The sequence below is a fragment of the Homo sapiens genome, chromosome 3 (assembly GCF_000001405.40).
Source record: "Homo sapiens chromosome 3, GRCh38.p14 Primary Assembly".
Classification (NCBI taxonomy): domain Eukaryota; kingdom Metazoa; phylum Chordata; class Mammalia; order Primates; family Hominidae; genus Homo; species Homo sapiens.
The window spans coordinates 53,844,694-53,866,483 of NC_000003.12; the positions used below are offsets into that span (position 1 = coordinate 53,844,694).

Consider the following 21,790-nt stretch of genomic DNA (forward strand, 5'->3'; position numbering starts at 1 on the left):
CACAGAATCAGATACTCACGGAATGAACGCATGTTAGTGAATGGCTGCCTGCTCGCTCGTCTCAGAGGGACTAGCCCTCTATTTTGCCCTGCAGAGCCAACCAGGTGGCCTTTCTAAAACCAAAAATGGATGACCATTTAAGCCTGTACCATTGTTCCTCAGCACCATGGGACAAAGTTCACAATCTTGAGCTTGCAGACGAGGCTGTTTTCATCTGGGCTTCCGCAGCAAGGCGGGTACTTGTGTCCTTGAAAATAATTCTCACTGCACTCATCCTCACTCCAGGAGTACCCATCAGCCAGCACCCATGTGTGGTTCACCTTTGCACCCAGCAGGTATTTGCTGAACAGGAAGATGACTATTAGAGCTGAAAATGTTCTCAAGGGCCACAGGGCCCAAAGCAACTCAGAGAGGTGGAATGAGGGGCTCAGGGTGGCCCAGTCCCAGGCAGGGGTGCGGCCACAACCTCAACTGAGTTCCTTGGTCAGGAAACAGAGCAATTCTCTGAAAATGCTACCTGCAACTCCACACGTATGCATGCCAGAGCCCAAACCCCTGGCTGATCCCCAGTCCATGCAAGCCTTAATCAAGCTGGCAGGTGGGCCAGGCCTGGCACACAAGTAGGGCCTCAGCTAAAACAGCTGCTTGACTTAGTACAGCCTCTCACCAGCTGACAACACACCCCTAAGTTCCATACCCCTCTCTAGGCCTCCGTCTTCTCATCTGTAGAATGGAGCTAATTCTGCCTACAAGTTTAAATGGCCCTGAGTTGGTCACCACAACCCTGTCGTTTGCAAACCGAGGGGGCTGAAGCAGCAGTTCCAGCCTCTGTGACTCCACTGTTAGCCCAGCTGATTTTTGTGAACTTTCCCCCAAACCCACTGTGTCTCAAAGGATGGTCCCTGGGCCACCCACCCACGAATTACGGGGGCGTGGGTGGAGGCTCGTTAAATGCAGATCCCGGGCCTGACCCGGACCTGCCGTCTGGATCTCATTTTAGGCGGCGCTAGAGATCCCGGGCCAGGGAAACTTGAGAACCGCAGCTCCAAATCGCCAGTGCTGACGGCTTCCGCTTTGGGAGCCCCAGGTGTTGCTGTCCGAACTCACTTGGTGGAAACAGACATTTACCAGAAAGCCTGGGGTCGGGCAGCGGGCACTCCTACCGCTCTAACCCCGCGTAGCTGAAAGAATTCGCTCCCTCAAAGGAGTCAGTGAGCTTCGGCAGTCTGCGTTCCACCCGTTTCGCTTCGCGCGGCGGGGCGATTGTGTAAAGCGGGCCCGGGTCTCGGCGTCCAGCCCGGCCCCAAACCTCCGGCCCCCAGGCCTCTCCGGGCTAGCGGCCGGGCGGCGCTGCTGCGGGGTGGTCGGGGCGCCTCCGCGGCTACTCACCCGGGGCGACTCGGCCGAGAGCCCGACAGTCGGGACCGGAGCGGGAGGAGCGGGTGGCCGCGGCCCGGCCCCTGCCCCGCGGCACTTTAACCGGCGGCGCCGGCGCCCCGCGCGCTCTCTGCGTCCGGAATGGGGACGCAGCAGTTCCGACCCGGTCGGCCCCGGAGCCGCGAGGCTAGCTGGGCTCCAGCGGAGGCGCGCGAAGCCCGAGGGCGGGTGCAGCTGATGCACCTGGCTCACTGCATGCACGTGTGCGCGGGGGTAGGCGCGCGCCGCGGCGGCCCGTGCTCCGCCAGCGCTCGGACACGGCCCATCCCTCCGAGCCCCAGCAGGCGAGGGCGCTGCGACCTGCCCCAGCCTGGGAGGGGGCCAGCGGGCCCGCCCTCTGTTCGGGTGGCGGGAATGGGTCGGCGCTGCGAGAGGCGGAGCCGAGAAGGGGCGGCCCGGCGGCGCCGGGATAAAAGCGCAGCGTGCGGGTGGCCTGGATCCCGCGCAGTGGCCCGGCGATGTCGCTCGTGCTGCTAAGCCTGGCCGCGCTGTGCAGGAGCGCCGTACCCCGAGAGCCGGTAAGCCCCCGCCAGCACCTCTTCCCTCATCTCCCGGCCCTCGAGCCCAGATCCTGACGTCGTCTGATCCGCCAGTCCAGGCTGCCCCGAAGGCGTGCGCGGACTGCCGGCTCAAGGGGCATGCCTGCACCCTCAGGGCAGCCCCGGACATCGGCGTCAGGTTGCTTGAGTCAGGGGCGTGGGAATCAGACAGACCCGGTCTCAGATGCCACCCTGTACTGTTGGTTCTGTCATTTATGCTCACCAAGTTCCAAGTCCCGAACGGTAAAACGAAGGGCAGTACCGAACCCACCAGGGTCTCTTAAGGTATAACGACATGGCCTGCAATTAGCGGCGAAGGGCCTGGCACGTAGTTATTGTTACTTGGGGTCTGCTCACCTGTTGGGGCACAAGAACTGTTTCTCCATTAGTACCCCCTCCCTTTTTGGCCATATTGATTGCCATGTTCACTCGTGAAGGCAGTTGCCTTTCTTCCCCAGTACCCTGAATGATCGAGGGAATCTTCTGGGTCACTGAAGAGAAAATAGCTCATCCCCCAAATAACCTTTGAAATGATACCGCTGCCCTCTTAGAATAGCATATAGCATCAAGCTCCGTAGTCACCTGCTGGTGGACAAACCCCATTCACTGTTTCCTGATGTCTTCAGCTCCTATCCTTCCCCTCTGTGTCAGTTCAGAAGCCCTCTTGGCTCTTTGCACTAAAGGGAAGAATTCATCCCTTTTGCTGTAGTTGCTGCAAGGCCAACAATTTGAGCTTGGTAGCATTTAGGGTTGTTGCTTGGCCTCTCACCGGCCGTTTGATAAGAACTCAGCTCCTGGTATGATGGCTCATTTGTTAAAAAAAAAAAAAAAAAGTCAAGTCTGGCCGGGCTCGGTGGCTCACGCCTGTAATCCCAGCACTTTGGGAGGCTGAGGCGGCCGGATTGCCTGAGGTCAGGAGTTTGGGAACAGCCTGGCTAACATGGTGAAACCCCGTCTCTACTAAAAATACAAAAAGTAGCCGGGCATGGTGGCAGGCGCCTGTAATCCCAGCTACTCCGGAGGCTGAGGCAGGAGAATCACTTGAACCCGGGAGCCAGAGGTTGCAGTGAGCCGAGATCTGCGCCACTGTACTCCAGCCTGGGTGACAAAGTGAGACTCTGTCTCAGAAAAAGGAAAAAAAAATCTGATGATATCCCTTAGAGTTCATTTTTTAAAAGACAAATAAATGATTGACAATTTTGCCCAAACTCAAATCATTCAAACCATCAAAAGGAGATCTTAGAAGGTGTTTGGAAATGTGGATGCTCAGCAGCATATTCCAGAGCTGCTGGACGTATCACATTGAGTCTTGTCATTTGAGCTTGCTGCTGCCTAAAGCCCCAATATTTTAGGTTCAGTATTTTATTCCAGAACCAAAGCACAAATTATTTTTTCTTATGAAAAAACACGAGCAGCTAACTTCAAACGATTTAGTACCAGCCTTTCTTGAACACTAATAATTGCTTATGGTTTCGTGAATTGCTCAGTGAGTCCTTTTGTGTTAGAAGGGGAACATTTTAAAGAACCTGAGGAAAGTACCATGGACTGCATTCAGAGCTTTCTTTTGTTTATCTCCTTAGCATAGCTACTCCTTAACCTGGGGTAGCCCAGTAAATACTCTAGGCCGTCCTAAAAACCTAGAGTTAAACATTAGAGTGTGAAGGGGCCTCACATCGGTCCCAAGTCATCCCCTGCTTGCAGCAGGGAAGGATGACATCCAGAGACAGATGGAGACCCACCTGTGGTCTTCAAGTGAGGTTATGCACTGGCTTGAGGATCAGGTATACTGATGGCTAATCCATGGTCCGTCATAGCCTACAGTGGGACAGCTTAGTTCCCCCCTAAGCTGTGAAGCAGAACCAGTTCATCTTTTCTTTGAAAGTTTGTCACTTGTATATGCATTTAAGGGGAAAATGGTGTTCTGCCTAATTTGGCAAAGGAAAGCTTGTGGTTTGCCGGCTTCAACGTGACGCTTGGTTTTTTCTCTCCCACAGACCGTTCAATGTGGCTCTGAAACTGGTAGGTGCATTAGAGAATGGGTATTTGGGGCTTTACATTGAAAGCACAGTTGGACTTTTAGGAAGCCTAATATAGGCAATAGGTCATCGAAGACCAGACACAGGGTGACCCATTGCTTTATTGGCTGATGCAGATGAAGTCTCTGTCTGCTCGAAGCAGAACTCTGGGGCTCTGTGGGAATGAGGCCGTGTTTCAGACAGGCTAGCCTCTTGGCCAGTCAAGATGGGACTTGCCATACAAGGTGGAAAGTGATGCCTGCCACTCTGCAGAGGGAGATCAAGGCCGTGGAAGGAAGGTCACTTAGAGTTGGGACCGAGAAGCAAATGTTTCATAGGAGAGCGGGTGTTTGAGATGGTGGCATTTGAAGAATGGGTAGGCTTCTGCCCAAAAAATGTGGGTAGGAAGAGTGAGCTGGAGGAGAGATGGCACCAGCAAAGGTTAGGAGGTGGGAAAGTGGGGGCTGTGTGGGCCAGCTGGCTGGAATCCAGGGCCAAAGCCTGAGGAAGGCAGGCCTGACTCTAATAAACATGTCAAATACACTAAATATATACATGTGTACATACACAGGTACCTGGAGTGGTCCCACGTGCTCTGTAGGTGAAAGCCAGGAGGTTGAGAGTACTTCTGTTAGATCAAAATTATCTGGGCTATAAATCAGCCAGCGCTAAGAAACATTTGGCCTTAGCAGGAAGAACTGAGGAATTGGGTCAGGCGTGGTGGCTTATACCTATAATCCAAGCACTTTGGGAGGCTGAGGTGGGAGGATCATTTGAGGCCAGGAGTTTGAGATCATCTTAGGCAACAGAGTGAGACCCCATCTCTACAAAAAACATTTTTTTAATTAAAAAAAAAAGAAGTGAGGAATTGTGAATGGGGGAAGGTTTGGTGTGAGTCACTGAGAGGAGATGGCATGGCATCAGACTGGGCTGGGAAAGACAGTGTCATGGAAGTCTTGCTTTTTCCCAGGGCCATCTCCAGAGTGGATGCTACAACATGATCTAATCCCCGGAGACTTGAGGGACCTCCGAGTAGAACCTGTTACAACTAGTGTTGCAACAGGGGACTATTCAATTTTGATGAATGTAAGCTGGGTACTCCGGGCAGATGGTAAGTTTGCATCCATCAGAGATAAGGCCCAAAGTGTCTACTAAATCAGAAATGTGCAGACTATATGAACCATTAATTCCCCTTCTACGCATAACCAACAGAAATACATGCATACACGCACCAAAAGCCACATACTAGGGTGATCGCAGTAGCACTACTTACAACAGGCAACATTAGAAAGCACTCAAATGCCCAACAGTAGAAAGGAATCACCAGATAAATTCCGTCACAGCAACAAGAATGAATGATCTGTAACTACGTACAACAATATGGATGAATGTCACAAACATAAGGCAGATTCAAAAGAGTTTGTACATTTATATCTGTGTGCATGCCTGCAGGCATACATGCCATATGATCCCATTTACAGAAAGTGCCAAGCAAACAAAACCAATCTAGTGTTTAGAAGTCAGGATAGTAGCCAGGAGCGGTGGCTAACGCCTGTAATCCCAGCACTTTGGGAGGCCGAGGTGGGTGGATCACTTGAGGCCAGGAGTTCGAGACCAGCCTGGCCAACATGGCAAAACCCCATCTCTACTAAGAATACAAAAATTAGCCAGATGTGGTGTTGCACACCTGTAATCCCAGCTACTCGGGAGGCTGAGGCACGAGAATCGCTTGAACCCAGGAGGCGGAGCTTGCAGTGAGCTGTGATCGCACCACTGCACTCCAGCAGCCTGGGCAACAGAGTGAAACTCCGTCTCAAAAAAAAAAAAAAAAGCAAAAGACCAGGCGTGGTGGCGCATGCCTGTAATCCCAGCACTTTGGGAGGCCAAGGCGGGTAGATTACTTGAGGTCAGGAGTTCAAGACCAGCCTGGCCAACATGGTGAAACTCCATCTCTCCTAAAAATACAAAAAATTAGCCAGGCATGGTGGCACATGCCTGTAATCCCAGCTACTTGGGAGGCTGAGGCAGGAGAATAACTTGAACCCAGGAGGTGGAGGTTGCAGTGAGTTGAGACTGTGCCATTGCACTCCTGCCTGGGTGACAGAGAGACTGTCTCAAAATAAAATAAAATAAAATAAAATAAAAGTCAGGGTAGTGGTTCCTGCTGGGGTAGGAATAACTGTAAGGAAGTATGAGGAGCACACCTGAGGGAGTTTCTTAACCTGCATACTGGTTGCATGAGTGTCCCGATGCATCAAGTGGTACACTTATGTGTGTACTTTTCTGTGTATGTACTTCATGGAAGAAGATAAGGTAAGGCGAGAGATGATTTTCCCCACCCCACTTCAGTTTAGGGAAAGCACTGGCTTAGATAGATTACTTTTCCACTTCCCAGATGACGTCACGAAGCTTTTGGCATTTCCCCAAGATTGTGCTGCAAGGCACCATATGAGTTCTTTCAGTGAGCTACTCCTGGGATCCTAATGCCCATCCTTTTGGTTTCCATCTGCTAAATTCAGATCGGAAAAAAGTCTACCTGGTCAAGAATCCATGAGTGCCAGGCACAGAGAGAGGAGTCACCTACAGTCTCCACCCAGGAGGATTCAGAGGGGTAGGGGAGGCAGACACAGGCACAATGTCAGGGGAGTCCCAGAAGGGAGCTGTGCTTCATCTGAGTGGGATAGGGCGAGAGGAGCTGGAAAGGGTCTCTGGTGAGGTTGCTTTAGGTGAGATGTGGCCATAAGGGTTTGGGCCCTTACCTGGCACAGAGTGAGCTCTTTGTCAGCTGTGGTTATGGGCTGTGGTGCATGAGTGAGTTGGGCTTTAAAAGAGTGAAACTTGAAGAGGTAGATAATGGGAGGAAAGGACCTTCAGGGAGAAGAATCAGCATGGATAAAGGTGCAATCGGAACAGGTGTGGTTTGGTGATGACAGTCTTGGAGGGTCTTTGTGGGTCTCCCTGAGGCCAGCCTCTTCCTCTTAAAAGAGACCCAGAATAGTGCAGAGCTATAGCCACCTTTGCAGGCATCCTATGAAATTCAAGCTGACCTATGAGGAGGAGGGAGCTTGGGCTTTGGAATCTGAATTCGTATCTGCTACTTGCTGATGAGTTTTCTAAGTTTAAGCAGAGCTCCCTGAAACTTCCTAAGCCTCACGAACCCCATCTGTAAACTGGAGACAGTGGTGCCTACCTTTCAGTACTATTGTGAATATGAACCGAGACATAAAATAAAGCATGCTAGTAAAGCATCTAGCATCAAGTCAGCCACACAGCAAGTGCTAAATAAACCAATGTCCTCTTGCCTATCTCGGCAGCCAGCATCCGCTTGTTGAAGGCCACCAAGATTTGTGTGACGGGCAAAAGCAACTTCCAGTCCTACAGCTGTGTGAGGTGCAATTACACAGAGGCCTTCCAGACTCAGACCAGACCCTCTGGTGGTAAAGTAAGCACTTTTTTGTTTTTTGTTTTGTTTTTTGAGATAGCATCTTGTTCTGTCACCCAGGCTGGAGTGCAGTGGTGCGATCATGGCTCACTGCGACCTCAATCTTCTGGGCTCAAGCGATCGTTCTACTTCAGCCTCCCAAGCAGCTGGGACTACAGGCATGAGCCACCAGACCTGGCTAATTTTTGTAGTTTTTGTAGAGGGGGGTTTCACCGTGTTGCTGGTCTTGAATTCCAGTGCTCAAGCGATCTGCCTGCCTCAGCTTCCCAAAGTGCTGGGATTACAGGTATGAGCCACTGTATCCGGGCATAGACACTTTTATGTATTTGGCTAATTGTTGCTGAAAGCTATGCCCTTTGTTTGGGGAGCATGGATGATGTGCTGCTCACACGGGCTGGTAAATAGCTATGACTCAGAGCTTAGAGCAAGATCCCTTGGTTCAAATCCCATTTTCGGCTACTTCTCTGTTTTGTGCCTTTTGTAAGTCAGCATCTCTGGGCCTCAGTTTTTCCCTACCAGCCAATGGAAGAGAATTGGACTTAAATTATATCCTGGCTTTAAAACTTTATACTTCTCTGATTCTGTAAATTGTTTAGTGCCCATTCCCTAAGTAGACATTGGTTGGAGACCTAAGTTTTCACAGAGTGAGTAATGAAATACAAACTAAAAGGGCAACACACTAAGGTATACTGTTTCTGTACTGCAGTGTTTTGGGAATTGAGAGTTCCTTGCTTTGCCTTTCAGTGGACATTTTCCTACATCGGCTTCCCTGTAGAGCTGAACACAGTCTATTTCATTGGGGCCCATAATATTCCTAATGCAAATATGAATGAAGATGGCCCTTCCATGTCTGTGAATTTCACCTCACCAGGTAAACTTCCTCATTTGTTTATTATTCTTTGTCTTGCTGGGATGCCTGCTTTGCGATATGCACAGAGAGAGCCCAGGGAACCCTGGATAAGGCTTTTGGCCTTGCTAAATCTCAGTTCCCTTATCTAAAGCATGGACACAGTAGTAACCATACTTTACCCACAGAGCAGAGAGAATAAAGTCAGGTAAAATGTAGGAAAAAGTCTGTTCCTGTATGCCAGGCACTGTGCTGAATACTTGATATGCATCATCTCACTTAAGCATCTCAGCAACCCCAAGGTTGGGATAGCTGCATTTTACAGATGAAGAAACTGAGAGGTTAAGTCACTTTCCCTGGGTTATACACACATAAAAGTGAAGCTGACATTCACACTTTGGTCCTTCTAGAGCAATGCACCTGAGCCACTCTTTATATCACTGATGCAAAATGTTTGTTCGTTCCTATCTCAGCTTTCTAGAGTGGGCTGCATATGGCTGGGCCTCTGAGAATCTACAGACTCCAGTTGGCTTGTCCCCAAGCTGTCCATGAGAGGCAGGGTGGTCCTGAGTTGGATGCTGGGCCCTTGCCCCAGCTTTGTGACACAGGACCAGTTCTCTGGTACCACAGCTGCAATGTCACACACAGGGCTGTGATGAGGATGAGACAGGATGGTGTGTGTGAAGGGTCTATCTGAGCCGAGTCACCCATCCCATACCACCATCCTGTCATCTGTCACAGGCAAGGCATCAAAGCCAAACGGTAATTTCCAATTCACTGCTGGTCTTGGAGATTGTGGTCCAGGGTGTTTTTGGTGCTGCACCATTTACTACACGTGGTTTCCAACTTTCTTGATGAGAGCAAACCTCATTTTGTTTTCAAATAAGCTTTTTTATTTTGGAATTCTTTTATTTTATTATTTATTTATTTATTTATTTTTTAGACGGGGTTTTGCTCTTGTTGCCCTGGCTGGAGTGCAGTGGCACCATCTCAGCTCACTGCAACCTCCGCCTCTTGGATTTAAGTGATTCTCCTGCCTCAGCCTCCCAAGAAGCTAGGATTACAGTCATGAGCCACCACACCCAGCTAATTTTTGTATTTTTAGTAGAGACGGGGTTTCACTATGATGGCTAGGCTAGTCTCAAACTCCTAACCTCGGGTGATCTGCCTACCTTGGCCTCCCAAAGTGCTGGGATTACAGGAGTGAGCCACCGTACCCAGCCTTATTTTGGAATAATTTTAGATTTACAGAAAAGTTGCAAAGATAGTACAGTTTCCATATACCTCTCACCCAGCTTCTCCTATTAACGTCTTGTATTACCATGATACATTTGTCAAAACTAAGAAACCAACATTAGTACGTGTCTGTTAACTAAACTCCAGACTTTATTTGGACTTCACCTGCTTTTTCATGAATGTCCTCTTTCTGTTCCAGTTGCATTTAGTCCCTGTGTGTCTCTCCTCTGGTCTGTAACAGTTTCTTAGTCTTTGTTTTTCAGAACGTTGACAGTCTTGAGTTCTGACCAGGCATCCTGTAGAATGTCCCCCAGTGTGGGTTTGTCTGATGTTTGTCTCATGATTAGACAGGGAATTCATACCACAGAGGTGCCGGGCCCTTCTTATCCCATCAGGGGTCCATGGCACCCACATGACACCAGGCTGGGGGTCACCATCAACACTAGATTAATGTGGGGACTGCCAGACTTCTCCATGTAAATCTACTGTTTTTCCCAACTCTCGTTTTTGGAAACAAGTCACTAATTCTACCCCACCCTGGGGTGAGGATAGGGGAGTGTTAGGCTTCATGTCCTTGAAGGGGCAGCATCTACAGATATTACCAAATGTCCTTTTCAAATGATGGATGGTTTTCGAGTCCTCTCTTAGGGATCAAAGATACTGTTTTGATAAAGGCTGTATTTAAATTAGACTCTGGTTATCACGTAATGGGCAGATGTTCTCTGTTTAGCAGTAAAATGTTAGAGCCCCACAAAAAATTAGCCGGGCGTGGTGGCGGGCGCCTGTAGTCCCAGCTACTCAGGAGCCTGAGGCAGGAGAATGGCGTGAACCTGGGTGGCAGAGCTAGCAGTGAGCTGAGATTGCGCCACTGCACTCCAGCCTAGGCGACAGAGCAAGACTCCGGCTCAAAAAAAAAAAAAAAAAAAAAAAAATTAGAGCCCCATTTGAATTTGCCATCTTACATCTGGAATGTTTTGGCAATTTGTTACAGGTGTGGTATGCGTATGTGTGTGTGCACTTGGCAAAGGGGGTGGGGCAGAGATACCTTTTTCTAAAATGTAAAAACTTTCATTCAAATTTCCAGGCTGCCTAGACCACATAATGAAATATAAAAAAAAGTGTGTCAAGGCCGGTAAGTAAATACGGCATTTGCTTTTATTATTTGAAGAAACTTGTAACTTGAGGCAGCATAGCTCTCTTCATCTTTGCACAGAAGAACTGAGCCCTAGGGGAGAGTTGAATATCCAAGCACCCCCGATGGTGGTGGCAGAAGCACCTATGGCTCCTGATCTCCAGCCAGTACTTTGCCCACTGAGTGCAGCAGCCTGTCCAGAAAGGGGTAGACCCTCAGTACATTTATATAGTGGAGCAACAGTCACAAAGAACCACCCCCATCCACTTGGTTAACAACATTTTAGCCCAAATGGCTCAGCAGTGCCAATCAAAGGCTCTTCCTGATTGATGGGAGTCCTACGAGCCCTTCCACCTGCTCAGATGCTAGCACCACCCACCTGTGGCCATGGGGATCCTAAGAACCTTCTGTTTGGATTAGCAAACATTCGAGGTGGGAGTGTGAGTTCGCTAAAGGACTGGCCCACAATTACGCTCTCAATTTGTGTCCTCAAAGAGGATCACTTTTCACAGGCTAGTGAATTTTACCCCTTGAATTTTGTAGTAATCCCCTTTAGGATTATTAGTCCCTAGTGCCCAGTTTCCAAGGGTTTGTGTAAATTTCTGAGTAATATAGTGTTGGAATGCTAATGAGGCTAGTGGTATTTGGATCAGCCCAGAACTCTTAGGCACCCTTCACTGCACAAGGCATCCCTGGTACCCTTTCAGACAGCCGTCCATGCTGTCCTTGCTAGAAGGCAGATTTGGACGCTGAGCTTCCCACCAAGGGTACAGAGAACACTGCAGGTGTGAGGAGGTCAGAGGGCCTTGAAGTCAGTCCTGAACCTGAACTCCTAAAGACAGTTCTGAGCCAGGGCCTCAAATGGTCTCCTCGGTGGAGAAGATAATTTCTGCTGTTATACATTGTTGTTCCTGGAAATCAGTCCAGTCCTTATTTGCAAGTCACATGAATGAAACGACTGACTTTTTCTGCCAGAGCAGACCTATCAGGGTATATCCTCTAAGCTACGAGCCATTTCCTTCTTTCTTTGCATCTAGTGAAGCTGGCAGAATGGTCTGATGGATGAAGCTCCTGGAACACAAAATATTCTAGTGGTTGTAGTCCTGATTGTGAGTTCACTTGCTCTATAATCTTAGACATGTTTTCCAACCTGTAGCTCTTTCTCCCCATCCTGGGAAGTAGAAAATACTGACCCTATCCCTTAACTCAAAAGAGAGGTTGAAAACAGCAGTGAGTAGCAGAACCAATCCGTGCCTCCCACCATACTCAGCCCAGGGAAGCTGTTTTTAGCAAAGCAGCGATGTACGGATCCCCAAACTGTCTTGGGCAGCAAGTACTTTGAGACTTTGGAAACAATGATAAAAAGTTCACTATGTAGCAGCGTCCCTATCTCTTGGACATTGTTCCTGAGAACTTGGGTTTGTTTCCATAAAGCCCTGTGGGGAACTTAAATGAGGGAAGAGTTAGCAAGTTCATCTACATGGTTCTCTCTCAACTCACAGGAAGCCTGTGGGATCCGAACATCACTGCTTGTAAGAAGAATGAGGAGACAGTAGAAGTGAACTTCACAACCACTCCCCTGGGAAACAGATACATGGCTCTTATCCAACACAGCACTATCATCGGGTTTTCTCAGGTGTTTGAGGTACTTTTTCTCTTCGTCCCCTTCACCTCGTCCTCCAGCTTTCCTTAGTGTGTTGAAGGAAAATGGGGACAGTGTTGTCCAAACGTGCTGGGCTACTTTGATGAATTCAACAGATAAAAACAAGTCCCTGTGGGCATCCTGAGAGGTGTCACTGTGAACCTCAAACCATAGAAAGAAGGAAGTCTCCGAAGCAGGAAATGAGCCCTTCTTTACACATGGTCTAGTGAAAGGAGTCCTTTTGGGAAGCAAAGCTGCTTTGCTGGAAGCCTCGAAATCTGCTCACTCCTGTGCCTCATAATTTTTGGGGGGCGGAGGTTGACACAGGGTCTCACTCTGTCATCCAGGCTGGAATGCAGTGGCACAATCACAGCTTAGTGCAGCCTCCACCTCCCGGGCTCAAGTGATCCTCCCACCTCAGCCTCCCCAGATAGCTGGGATTACAGGCATGTGCCACCATGCCGAGCTAATTTTTTCATCTTTAGTAGAGACGGTTTCGCCATGTTGCCCAGGCTGGTCTCAAAATACTGGGCTCAAGCCATCTGCCTGCCTTGGCCTCCCAAAGTGTTGGGATTACAGGGGTGAGCCAGTGCACCTGGCACCTCATAATTCTTGACTCTCTCTCTCTTAAGCCACACCAGAAGAAACAAACGCGAGCTTCAGTGGTGATTCCAGTGACTGGGGATAGTGAAGGTGCTACGGTGCAGGTAAAGTTCAGTGAGCTGCTCTGGGGAGGGAAGGGACATAGAAGACTGTTCCATCATTCATTGCTTTTAAGGATGAGTTCTCTCTTGTCAAATGCACTTCTGCCAGCAGACACCAGTTAAGTGGCGTTCATGGGGGCTCTTTCGCTGCAGCCTCCACCGTGCTGAGGTCAGGAGGCCGACGTGGCAGTTGTGGTCCCTTTTGCTTGTATTAATGGCTGCTGACCTTCCAAAGCACTTTTTATTTTCATTTTCTGTCACAGACACTCAGGGATAGCAGTACCATTTTACTTCCGCAAGCCTTTAACTGCAAGATGAAGCTGCAAAGGGTTTGAAATGGGAAGGTTTGAGTTCCAGGCAGCGTATGAACTCTGGAGAGGGGCTGCCAGTCCTCTCTGGGCCGCAGCGGACCCAGCTGGAACACAGGAAGTTGGAGCAGTAGGTGCTCCTTCACCTCTCAGTATGTCTCTTTCAACTCTAGTTTTTGAGGTGGGGACACAGGAGGTCCAGTGGGACACAGCCACTCCCCAAAGAGTAAGGAGCTTCCATGCTTCATTCCCTGGCATAAAAAGTGCTCAAACACACCAGAGGGGGCAGGCACCAGCCAGGGTATGATGGCTACTACCCTTTTCTGGAGAACCATAGACTTCCCTTACTACAGGGACTTGCATGTCCTAAAGCACTGGCTGAAGGAAGCCAAGAGGATCACTGCTGCTCCTTTTTTCTAGAGGAAATGTTTGTCTACGTGGTAAGATATGACCTAGCCCTTTTAGGTAAGCGAACTGGTATGTTAGTAACGTGTACAAAGTTTAGGTTCAGACCCCGGGAGTCTTGGGCACGTGGGTCTCGGGTCACTGGTTTTGACTTTAGGGCTTTGTTACAGATGTGTGACCAAGGGGAAAATGTGCATGACAACACTAGAGGTATGGGCGAAGCCAGAAAGAAGGGAAGTTTTGGCTGAAGTAGGAGTCTTGGTGAGATTTTGCTCTGATGCATGGTGTGAACTTTCTGAGCCTCTTGTTTTTCCTCAGCTGACTCCATATTTTCCTACTTGTGGCAGCGACTGCATCCGACATAAAGGAACAGTTGTGCTCTGCCCACAAACAGGCGTCCCTTTCCCTCTGGATAACAGTAAGTGCCCAGTAACTTCAACCAGATGATCAAAGTGGCTCACACACAGTCACTGCCCCCCACTCAGTATGTGGAAGGGTTGTGTGTATGTGGGCAGTGCAAGGGGTCGCTGCCTGTGTACACTGAACTGGGGTGCAGAGAAAGCCAACAGTGCTGTCCCAGAGAACCTAGAATCTGAGTAAGAACAGGCTTTATTTGTAAAACCACTCGTGACTCTTTACAAAGCAGGATACACAGAAGGGAAAAAAATACACAGTGCAAAATGGATGTTCTGAGTGCCACAAGGATCTGCTGAAAAAAGCCAAAGATGTAAGATGGCTGGGTATATATGAGAATGAATATTTCACTATATTCTGATTCAATTACCAGTCTCAGTGGCCCAGGATGAGCTTTTGGTGTGGTCACATGGCCAACATTTGGATAACAAATGAGGAATAATGGTACCGCCTCACTAGTGCCTGAGAACAGCATGTTCTGGAAAATGTCTCTGGAGTTAGAGATGTGTTAGCTTTTTCATTACAGATGGAGAAATACAATGTTTACACAACAGTCCAGGGGTGGGGTCAAAAGTTGGAAGGTGTCATTAGACGCAGCCAAATAAAGTGAAGACAACCCAGGTGACTGGCAGCCCTGACTTGTGCGTGGGCGAAGCCTTACAGATTCCTGGGCACTCTGTGCCTGAGCTTACCTGATGTTCTTGTGAGGCGGGTGGCACTATCCTCCATGTATGTCAGTCTAACAAGACGGCCTGTAAAAATGTCATCTATATGTGCTATGTATGTAAGCAGTTGTACCCAGAATAACATTAATTCCTTAAAGAACCAAAAAAACTGGACAGAAACCCTAGTTCCTACTGTGAAAATGCCGGTGCATATCAGGACAAAGAAGCCAAAGAGATTTTAGGACTGTTCTTAACTTCCTGGGTCCCATATCCCTTTTGAGAATCTAATGCAAGACCTGCACACTCTAGGGAAAAAGATATGATTGGCAGACTCTCTAAAGAGCTTCTGACTGATGGTTTTAAAGGGATCTAAATCTCTACAAAGTGGCTGGGCGCGGTGACACATGCCTGTAATCCCAGCTACTCAGGAGGCTGAGGCAGCATTGCTTGAACCCGGGAGACGGAGGCTGCAGTGAACCGAGATTGCGCCACTGCACTCCAGCCTAGGCAACAAAGCGAGACTCTGTCTCAAAACTAAAAAATAATAAAAAATAAATAAACCTCTATAAAGTATACCAAGTCTTAGTTTTTAAATTAAGAGATAAGTGTGGATTTGTTTTCCAAAGGTGAATAAGCTTTGTTTTTTCCAGACAAAAGCAAGCCGGGAGGCTGGCTGCCTCTCCTCCTGCTGTCTCTGCTGGTGGCCACATGGGTGCTGGTGGCAGGGATCTATCTAATGTGGAGGCACGGTAAGGGTTATAATTCTTTAAAGACATCCTAGTAAGGAAATAACATTTTGAATTTTTTTTTAAAGAAGATTCCTCTGGAGGCAATCACATGTTGGCGTTTCCCAGAGTTAGATAGCATTTATGTAATACCTTCAAGTGCTCCTACAGAGACTGATACGAGCATGACTGGATTACACATGCCAGGTGAAAGCAGGGTCAGGACTTCCAGATCTTCTGACTGTCCCGTTTTTATTTTTACCATTGAGCCTTCTACCAGTACTGAAATGGGCAAAAGATGGCTGATAACAAATTACACTTTACCTGTGATGGTTACTCTATGCTAGTTCCTGTTTTTTAAAAAATAGTTCTTATGAGGTGTTAAGAAAAGCTTTCGCTTGGATTCATACACAGTTGACCCTTGAACAACACAGGTTTGGACTGCGCAGAGCCACTTACACCTGGATTTTTTCAATACATATATTGGAAAATTTTTTGGAGATTTGTATCACTTTGAAAAAACTTAGATGAAACTCGGATGAACTTTTCAATTAAAATATTGAAAAAAATGAAGAAAAAGGTATGTCATAAATGCAGAAAATGTATACAGATACTAGTCTACTTTATCATTTCCTACCATACCAATAGTTAACTATTTTAACTATTAAAAGTTAAAAATTTATCAAAACTTAAACACACACATACCAACTGTACATGGCACCATTCACAGTTGAGAGAAACGTGAGCATAAAGATGTGGTATTAAATCATAACTGCATACAATTAATTGCAGTGCGTACTGTCCTGCTGTGAATAATTTCCTAGCCACCTCCTGTTGCTACTGTGGTGAGCTCAAGGGTTGCAAGTATCGACTTAAAACACCCTGTGATGCTAACCATCTCCAAACGAGCAGTTCCTGTCTCCAGTAAATTACATATCACAGTAAAAAGTATCTCCAGTGGTTCTCTGGTATTTTTCGTGTTTAGTGCAATATCGTAAACCTTCAATAACACCTTAGGACCCATACGAAGTGCCACTAGTAATGCTGGCAGTGCTCCCAAGAAGCAGTGTCATGAAAAAAAGCAAAAAAAACTTTTTTTTTTCATTACAAGAAAAAAAGCCAAATTGCTTGATATGTACCATAAATTGAGGGTCTGCAGCTGTGATTGTTCACCATTTCAAGATAAATGAATCCAGCGTAAGGACCATAGTCAAAAAAGAAAAAAATTCATGAAGCCATCACTACAGCTACACCAGCAGACATGAAAACCTTGCACATTTTGCAGAATACCTTTTAATCTTGTATTGAAAATGTAGCTTTTATGTGGGTGCAGGATTGCTGTAAGAAAGGCATATCTGTAGACTCTAATATGATTTGAGAAAAAGCAAAGTCATTATATGACAACTTAAAGCAAAAGGAAGGTGAAGCATCTAAAGCTGGAGAATTTAATGCCAGTAAAGGATGGTTTGATAATTTTTAAAAGTGGTTTGGCTTAAAAACTGTCAAGATAACAGGAGAAGCAGCTTCTGCTGACCAAGAGGCAGCAGGTGAGTTCCCGGATGCCATTAAGAAAATCACTGAGGAGAAAGGATACCTGCCTGAACAGGTTTTCAGTGCAGATGAAAGTGTCCTCTTCTGGGAAAAAAATGCTACAAAGGACATTGATTAGTAAGGAAGAGAAGCATGCATCAGGATTTAAGGCAGGAAGGGACAGGCTAACTGGACTGCTTTGTACAAATGCAATTGGGTTTATGATCAGGACTGGCCTTATCTATAAAGCTGCTAACCCCCTGGCCTTGAAGGGAAAAGATAAACACCAGCTGCCAATCTTTTGGTTGTACAATAAGAAGGCCTGGACACTGAGAAAACTTTTCTGGATTGGTTCCACTGATGCTTTGTCCCTGAAGTCAGAAGTACCTTCCCAGGAAGCGACTGCCTTTTAAAGTTCTTTTGATATTGGACAATGCCCCCAGCCACCCAGAGCCCCATGAGTTCAACACTAAAGTCCTCAGAGTGGTCTCCTTGCCCCCAAACACATCATAATTTGGCCTCTAGATTGGGAGGCCATAAGGACCTTCAAGGCTCATTACACACAGTACTTTATGGAAAGGATTGTCAACACTATGGACGAGAACACCAACAGAGAGAACAACATGGAAGTCTGGAAGAATTACATCACTGAAGATGCCATCATTGTGACAGAGCAAGCCATGAAAGCCATCAAGCCTGAAACAATAAATTCCTGCAGGAGAAAACTGTCCAGATGATGTGCATGACTTCACAGGATTTACAACAGAGCCAATCAAGGAAAGAGATTGTAGATGTGGCAAAAAAGGTGGGGGGTGAAGGGTTTCAAGATACGGATCTTGGAGAAATTCAAGAGCTAACAGATAACCACACTAGAGGAACAAAGAGAAGACAACCTGCTGGAGACGAGTGCTTCCCCATCAGTGTGAGGTGATGATGAAGACGACACAGAAGCAGCAGCATCAGAAAACAAATCGACATTAAACAATCTGGCAGGTTTCTGATTAGTCAAGACTGCTTTTCACTTCTTTTGTAACACAGACCCTTCTATGATACAAGCATTAAACCTAAAGCAAGTGGTGGAGGAAGGATTGGTACCATATACAAATATTTTTAGAAAAATGAAAAAGCAAAAAAGCCAGAAATTATGATGTCTTTCTGTAAAGTTACACTGAGGCGCCCACCTCTCCTGCCTCCTCTTCCACCGCTTCTGCCTCTGCCACCCCTAAGTCAGCAAGACTAACCCCTTCCTCCTCTTCCTCGTCAGCCTACTCAACAAGATGATGACAAGAATAAAGACCTTTCTGATGGTCCACTTCCATTTAATGAATTAGTAAATATATTTTCTCATGATTTTAATTACATTTTTTTCTCTAGCTTACTTTATTATAATACAGCACATAATACACATAACATGCAAAATATGTGTTAATTGGCTGTTTATGTTATTGGTAAGACTTCCAGTCAACAGTAGGCTATTAGAAGTTAAGTTGTGGGAAAATCAAAGGTTATAGGAGATTTTCAACTGCATGCAGGGCCGGTGCCCCTCCCCACTGTGTTGTTCAAGGGTCAGCTGTACTCTCTAAGGGCTTTGCTAACTTCAAAACATGGAGTATTTGAATACAGAAACCAGAGCATTTACATACTCAGCTCAAGGCAGAGCTATTAAAAAAACTCCTCTTCTCCATATGTAGGAAAGGAAATACAAATGCATCCTTTGAGTCATTTGTGATGTTGTAAATAAAATGAGATTAACTCCATGTTCTAAGCTAAGAAAGCCACAGGGGCACCTGGACCTCAGGAATTCTTACATTTAGGGATGCTGTCTGACCTGTATTCGTTACAGTAGTTTCAAACATGGTTTGTTTTACAGCACCGTATAGGGCAGAATTCCAGGTTAAGTTCCAGGGGCTGAAAAGGGGTGCCACTTAACTTTGGGAACTATAAAGAAACTCTACCACCTGCAGGTAGAAGACAGTACAAGCAACTACCTAATTGACCCGACTCAAAATGTGAAGTGCAGAGGTCAAGTGTCCCTGTTCATATACAGCACTAAAAGTACTGAGGTTACAATCACACACCTCAAAGTATTTTTTTTTTTTTTTTTTTGAGACAGGGTCTCACTCTGTTGCCCAGGCTGGAGTGGAATGGTGTGATCTTGGCTCACTGCAACCTCTGCCTCCTGAGCTCAAGTGAACCTCCCACCTTAGCCGCCTGAGTAGCTGGGACCACAGATGCATGCCATCAAGCCCAGCTAATATTTGTACTTTTTGTTGAGATGGGGTTTCGCCATGTTGCCCTGGCTGGTCTGGAACTCCTGGACTCAAGTGATCTACCAGCCTTGGCCTCCCAAAGTGCTGGGATTCCTGGTGTAAGCCACCACACCTGGCCAACAAAGTATCTTAAACCTAAAGTTTCTATGAATTTATCTGAAAAGAGAAGGCTTGGTTGAGAGGATTGTTTTAGTGAGAGGGACTTAGAAAATACTGCTTTTAAAATAAGGTTTAAAAAGTTAAGGTTTAAGGCAGGGTGCGGTGGCTCACGCCTGTAATCCCAGCACTCTGGGAGGCCCAGGCGGGCGGAACACGAGGTCAGGAGATCGAGACCATCCTGGCTAACAGGGTGAAACCCCGTCTCTACTAAAAGTACAAAAATTAGCCAGGCGTGGTGGCGGGCGCCTGTAGTCCCAGCTACTCGGGAGGCTGAGGCAGGAGAATGGCGTGAACCCAGGAGGCGGAGGTTGTAGTCAGCCGAGGTCACGCCACTGCACTCCAGCCTGGGCGACAGAGTGAGACTATGTCTCCAAAAAAAAAAAAGTTAAGGTTTAAGCATCAGTGTGTTTCAGGTGATGTGTTCAAAAGGAACATCAGGATGTTTTTCCTTGCTGTCACTAACAAGGCCCTTGGTGCTCAGCTGACATTCTCTAGCAAGGGATCATTTGTCAGGGATGGTTTACAGAGTGAAAGCCTGCTGTTTGCTGTTCACAGATAACAAATGCTTTTCTCCTCTCACAGAAAGGATCAAGAAGACTTCCTTTTCTACCACCACACTACTGCCCCCCATTAAGGTTCTTGTGGTTTACCCATCTGAAATATGTTTCCATCACACAATTTGTTACTTCACTGAATTTCTTCAAAACCATTGCAGAAGTGAGGTCATCCTTGAAAAGTGGCAGAAAAAGAAAATAGCAGAGATGGGTCCAGTGCAGTGGCTTGCCACTCAAAAGAAGGCAGCAGACAAAGTCGTCTTCCTTCTTTCCAATGACGTCAACAGTGTGTGCGATGGTACCTGTGGCAAGAGCGAGGGCAGTCCCAGTGAGAACTCTCAAGACCTCTTCCCCCTTGCCTTTAACCTTTTCTGCAGTGATCTAAGAAGCCAGATTCATCTGCACAAATACGTGGTGGTCTACTTTAGAGAGATTGATACAAAAGACGATTACAATGCTCTCAGTGTCTGCCCCAAGTACCACCTCATGAAGGATGCCACTGCTTTCTGTGCAGAACTTCTCCATGTCAAGCAGCAGGTGTCAGCAGGAAAAAGATCACAAGCCTGCCACGATGGCTGCTGCTCCTTGTAGCCCACCCATGAGAAGCAAGAGACCTTAAAGGCTTCCTATCCCACCAATTACAGGGAAAAAACGTGTGATGATCCTGAAGCTTACTATGCAGCCTACAAACAGCCTTAGTAATTAAAACATTTTATACCAATAAAATTTTCAAATATTGCTAACTAATGTAGCATTAACTAACGATTGGAAACTACATTTACAACTTCAAAGCTGTTTTATACATAGAAATCAATTACAGTTTTAATTGAAAACTATAACCATTTTGATAATGCAACAATAAAGCATCTTCAGCCAAACATCTAGTCTTCCATAGACCATGCATTGCAGTGTACCCAGAACTGTTTAGCTAATATTCTATGTTTAATTAATGAATACTAACTCTAAGAACCCCTCACTGATTCACTCAATAGCATCTTAAGTGAAAAACCTTCTATTACATGCAAAAAATCATTGTTTTTAAGATAACAAAAGTAGGGAATAAACAAGCTGAACCCACTTTTACTGGACCAAATGATCTATTATATGTGTAACCACTTGTATGATTTGGTATTTGCATAAGACCTTCCCTCTACAAACTAGATTCATATCTTGATTCTTGTACAGGTGCCTTTTAACATGAACAACAAAATACCCACAAACTTGTCTACTTTTGCCTAAAGTTACCTATTAGAGGTCACTGTCAGAGTTCTCAGTTTCTTAGTTACTATTTAACTTTTCATGTTCAAAATGAAAATAATTCTTAAGTTGAAAGCCCTCTTGAAGTAACCTTTTTATAAATGAGTTATTATAATGGTTTACTTAAATAAAAAACAGGGGTGGGTGCAGTGGCTCATGCCTCCAATCCCAGCACTTTGGCAAGGCCAAGGCAAAAGGATCGCTCAAGACCAGGCTACGTCACAAAGCGAGACCTCCATCTCTACAAAAGATTTAAAAAATTAGCTGAGTGTGATGGTGTAAGCCTGTGGTCCCAGCTACTAGGGAGGCTGAGATGGGAGGATCACTTGAGCCCTGGAGGTCAAGGGTGCAGTAAACGGTGATTGTGCCACTGCACTCCATCCTGGGTGAGAGCAGACCCTGTCTAAAACAAACAAACGAAAAAACCCCCACAGAATGACAGAACATAAAAGATGCACATTTTGTCTTCCAACTTTTTACTCTTCTAAAAGCATCTTTTTTAAATTTTT

At 46.6% G+C, this 21,790-nt stretch overlaps 3 protein-coding genes across 3 annotated transcripts in view, besides 5 other annotated features; 1 reads left to right on the forward strand and 2 right to left on the reverse strand.

Moving 5' to 3' along the window:
- Positions 1-841: an enhancer, noted in NCBI's record as "H3K4me1 hESC enhancer chr3:53878721-53879561 (GRCh37/hg19 assembly coordinates)". NCBI's record gives its function as "activates a minimal SCP1, AML or CMV promoter by ChIP-STARR-seq in naive H9 embryonic stem cells {active_cell/tissue: H9 hESC(naive)}" and the evidence as "EXISTENCE:reporter gene assay evidence [ECO:0000049][PMID:30033119]".
- The window catches only part of CHDH (choline dehydrogenase), a 34,085-nt gene extending 32,359 nt beyond the window's left edge, over positions 1-1,726 (reverse strand). Inside the window, exon 1 of the mRNA NM_018397.5 lies at positions 1,390-1,726. The gene's annotated coding sequence lies outside the window, so the exon portion shown is untranslated. The remainder of the gene's footprint in view (positions 1-1,389) is intronic.
- Positions 842-1,682: an enhancer, noted in NCBI's record as "H3K27ac-H3K4me1 hESC enhancer chr3:53879562-53880402 (GRCh37/hg19 assembly coordinates)". NCBI's record gives its function as "activates a minimal SCP1, AML or CMV promoter by ChIP-STARR-seq in naive H9 embryonic stem cells {active_cell/tissue: H9 hESC(naive)}" and the evidence as "EXISTENCE:reporter gene assay evidence [ECO:0000049][PMID:30033119]".
- Positions 842-1,923: a biological region, named in NCBI's record as "Sharpr-MPRA regulatory region 239".
- Positions 1,274-1,923: a silencer, noted in NCBI's record as "silent region_14467". NCBI's record gives its function as "represses an Ori minimal core promoter by ATAC-STARR-seq in GM12878 lymphoblastoid cells {active_cell/tissue: GM12878}" and the evidence as "EXISTENCE:reporter gene assay evidence [ECO:0000049][PMID:35858748]".
- Positions 1,629-1,923: an enhancer, noted in NCBI's record as "tiled region #239; K562 Activating DNase unmatched - State 4:PromP". NCBI's record gives its function as "activates a minimal TATA promoter and a strong SV40 promoter by Sharpr-MPRA in K562 cells {active_cell/tissue: K562}" and the evidence as "EXISTENCE:reporter gene assay evidence [ECO:0000049][PMID:27701403]".
- IL17RB (interleukin 17 receptor B) lies at positions 1,875-21,101 on the forward strand. Its single transcript, NM_018725.4, has 11 exons — positions 1,875-1,955; positions 3,971-3,995; positions 4,962-5,102; positions 7,306-7,433; positions 8,178-8,304; positions 10,601-10,648; positions 12,151-12,293; positions 12,923-12,997; positions 14,026-14,125; positions 15,437-15,535; positions 20,053-21,101. The coding sequence occupies exons 1-11, from the start codon at positions 1,896-1,898 to the stop codon at positions 20,613-20,615; spliced, it is 1,509 nt and encodes a 502-aa protein (NP_061195.2). The 5' UTR covers positions 1,875-1,895; the 3' UTR covers positions 20,616-21,101.
- Positions 14,299-21,790, reverse strand: part of ACTR8 (actin related protein 8) — a 23,161-nt gene continuing 15,669 nt past the window's right edge. The window contains exon 14 of the mRNA XM_005265587.6: positions 14,299-20,326. The gene's annotated coding sequence lies outside the window, so the exon portion shown is untranslated. The remainder of the gene's footprint in view (positions 20,327-21,790) is intronic.

Coding starts and splice junctions, on each gene's coding strand:
- IL17RB (NM_018725.4), top strand. CDS start 1,896: ATGTCGCTCGTGCTGCTAAGCCTGGCCGCGCTGTGCAGGAGCGCCGTA. Junction 10,649..12,150: donor AAAAAAGTGTGTCAAGGCCG/GTAAGTAAATAC, acceptor CTCAACTCACAG/GAAGCCTGTGGGATCCGAAC. Junction 12,998..14,025: donor GTGAAGGTGCTACGGTGCAG/GTAAAGTTCAGT, acceptor GTTTTTCCTCAG/CTGACTCCATATTTTCCTAC.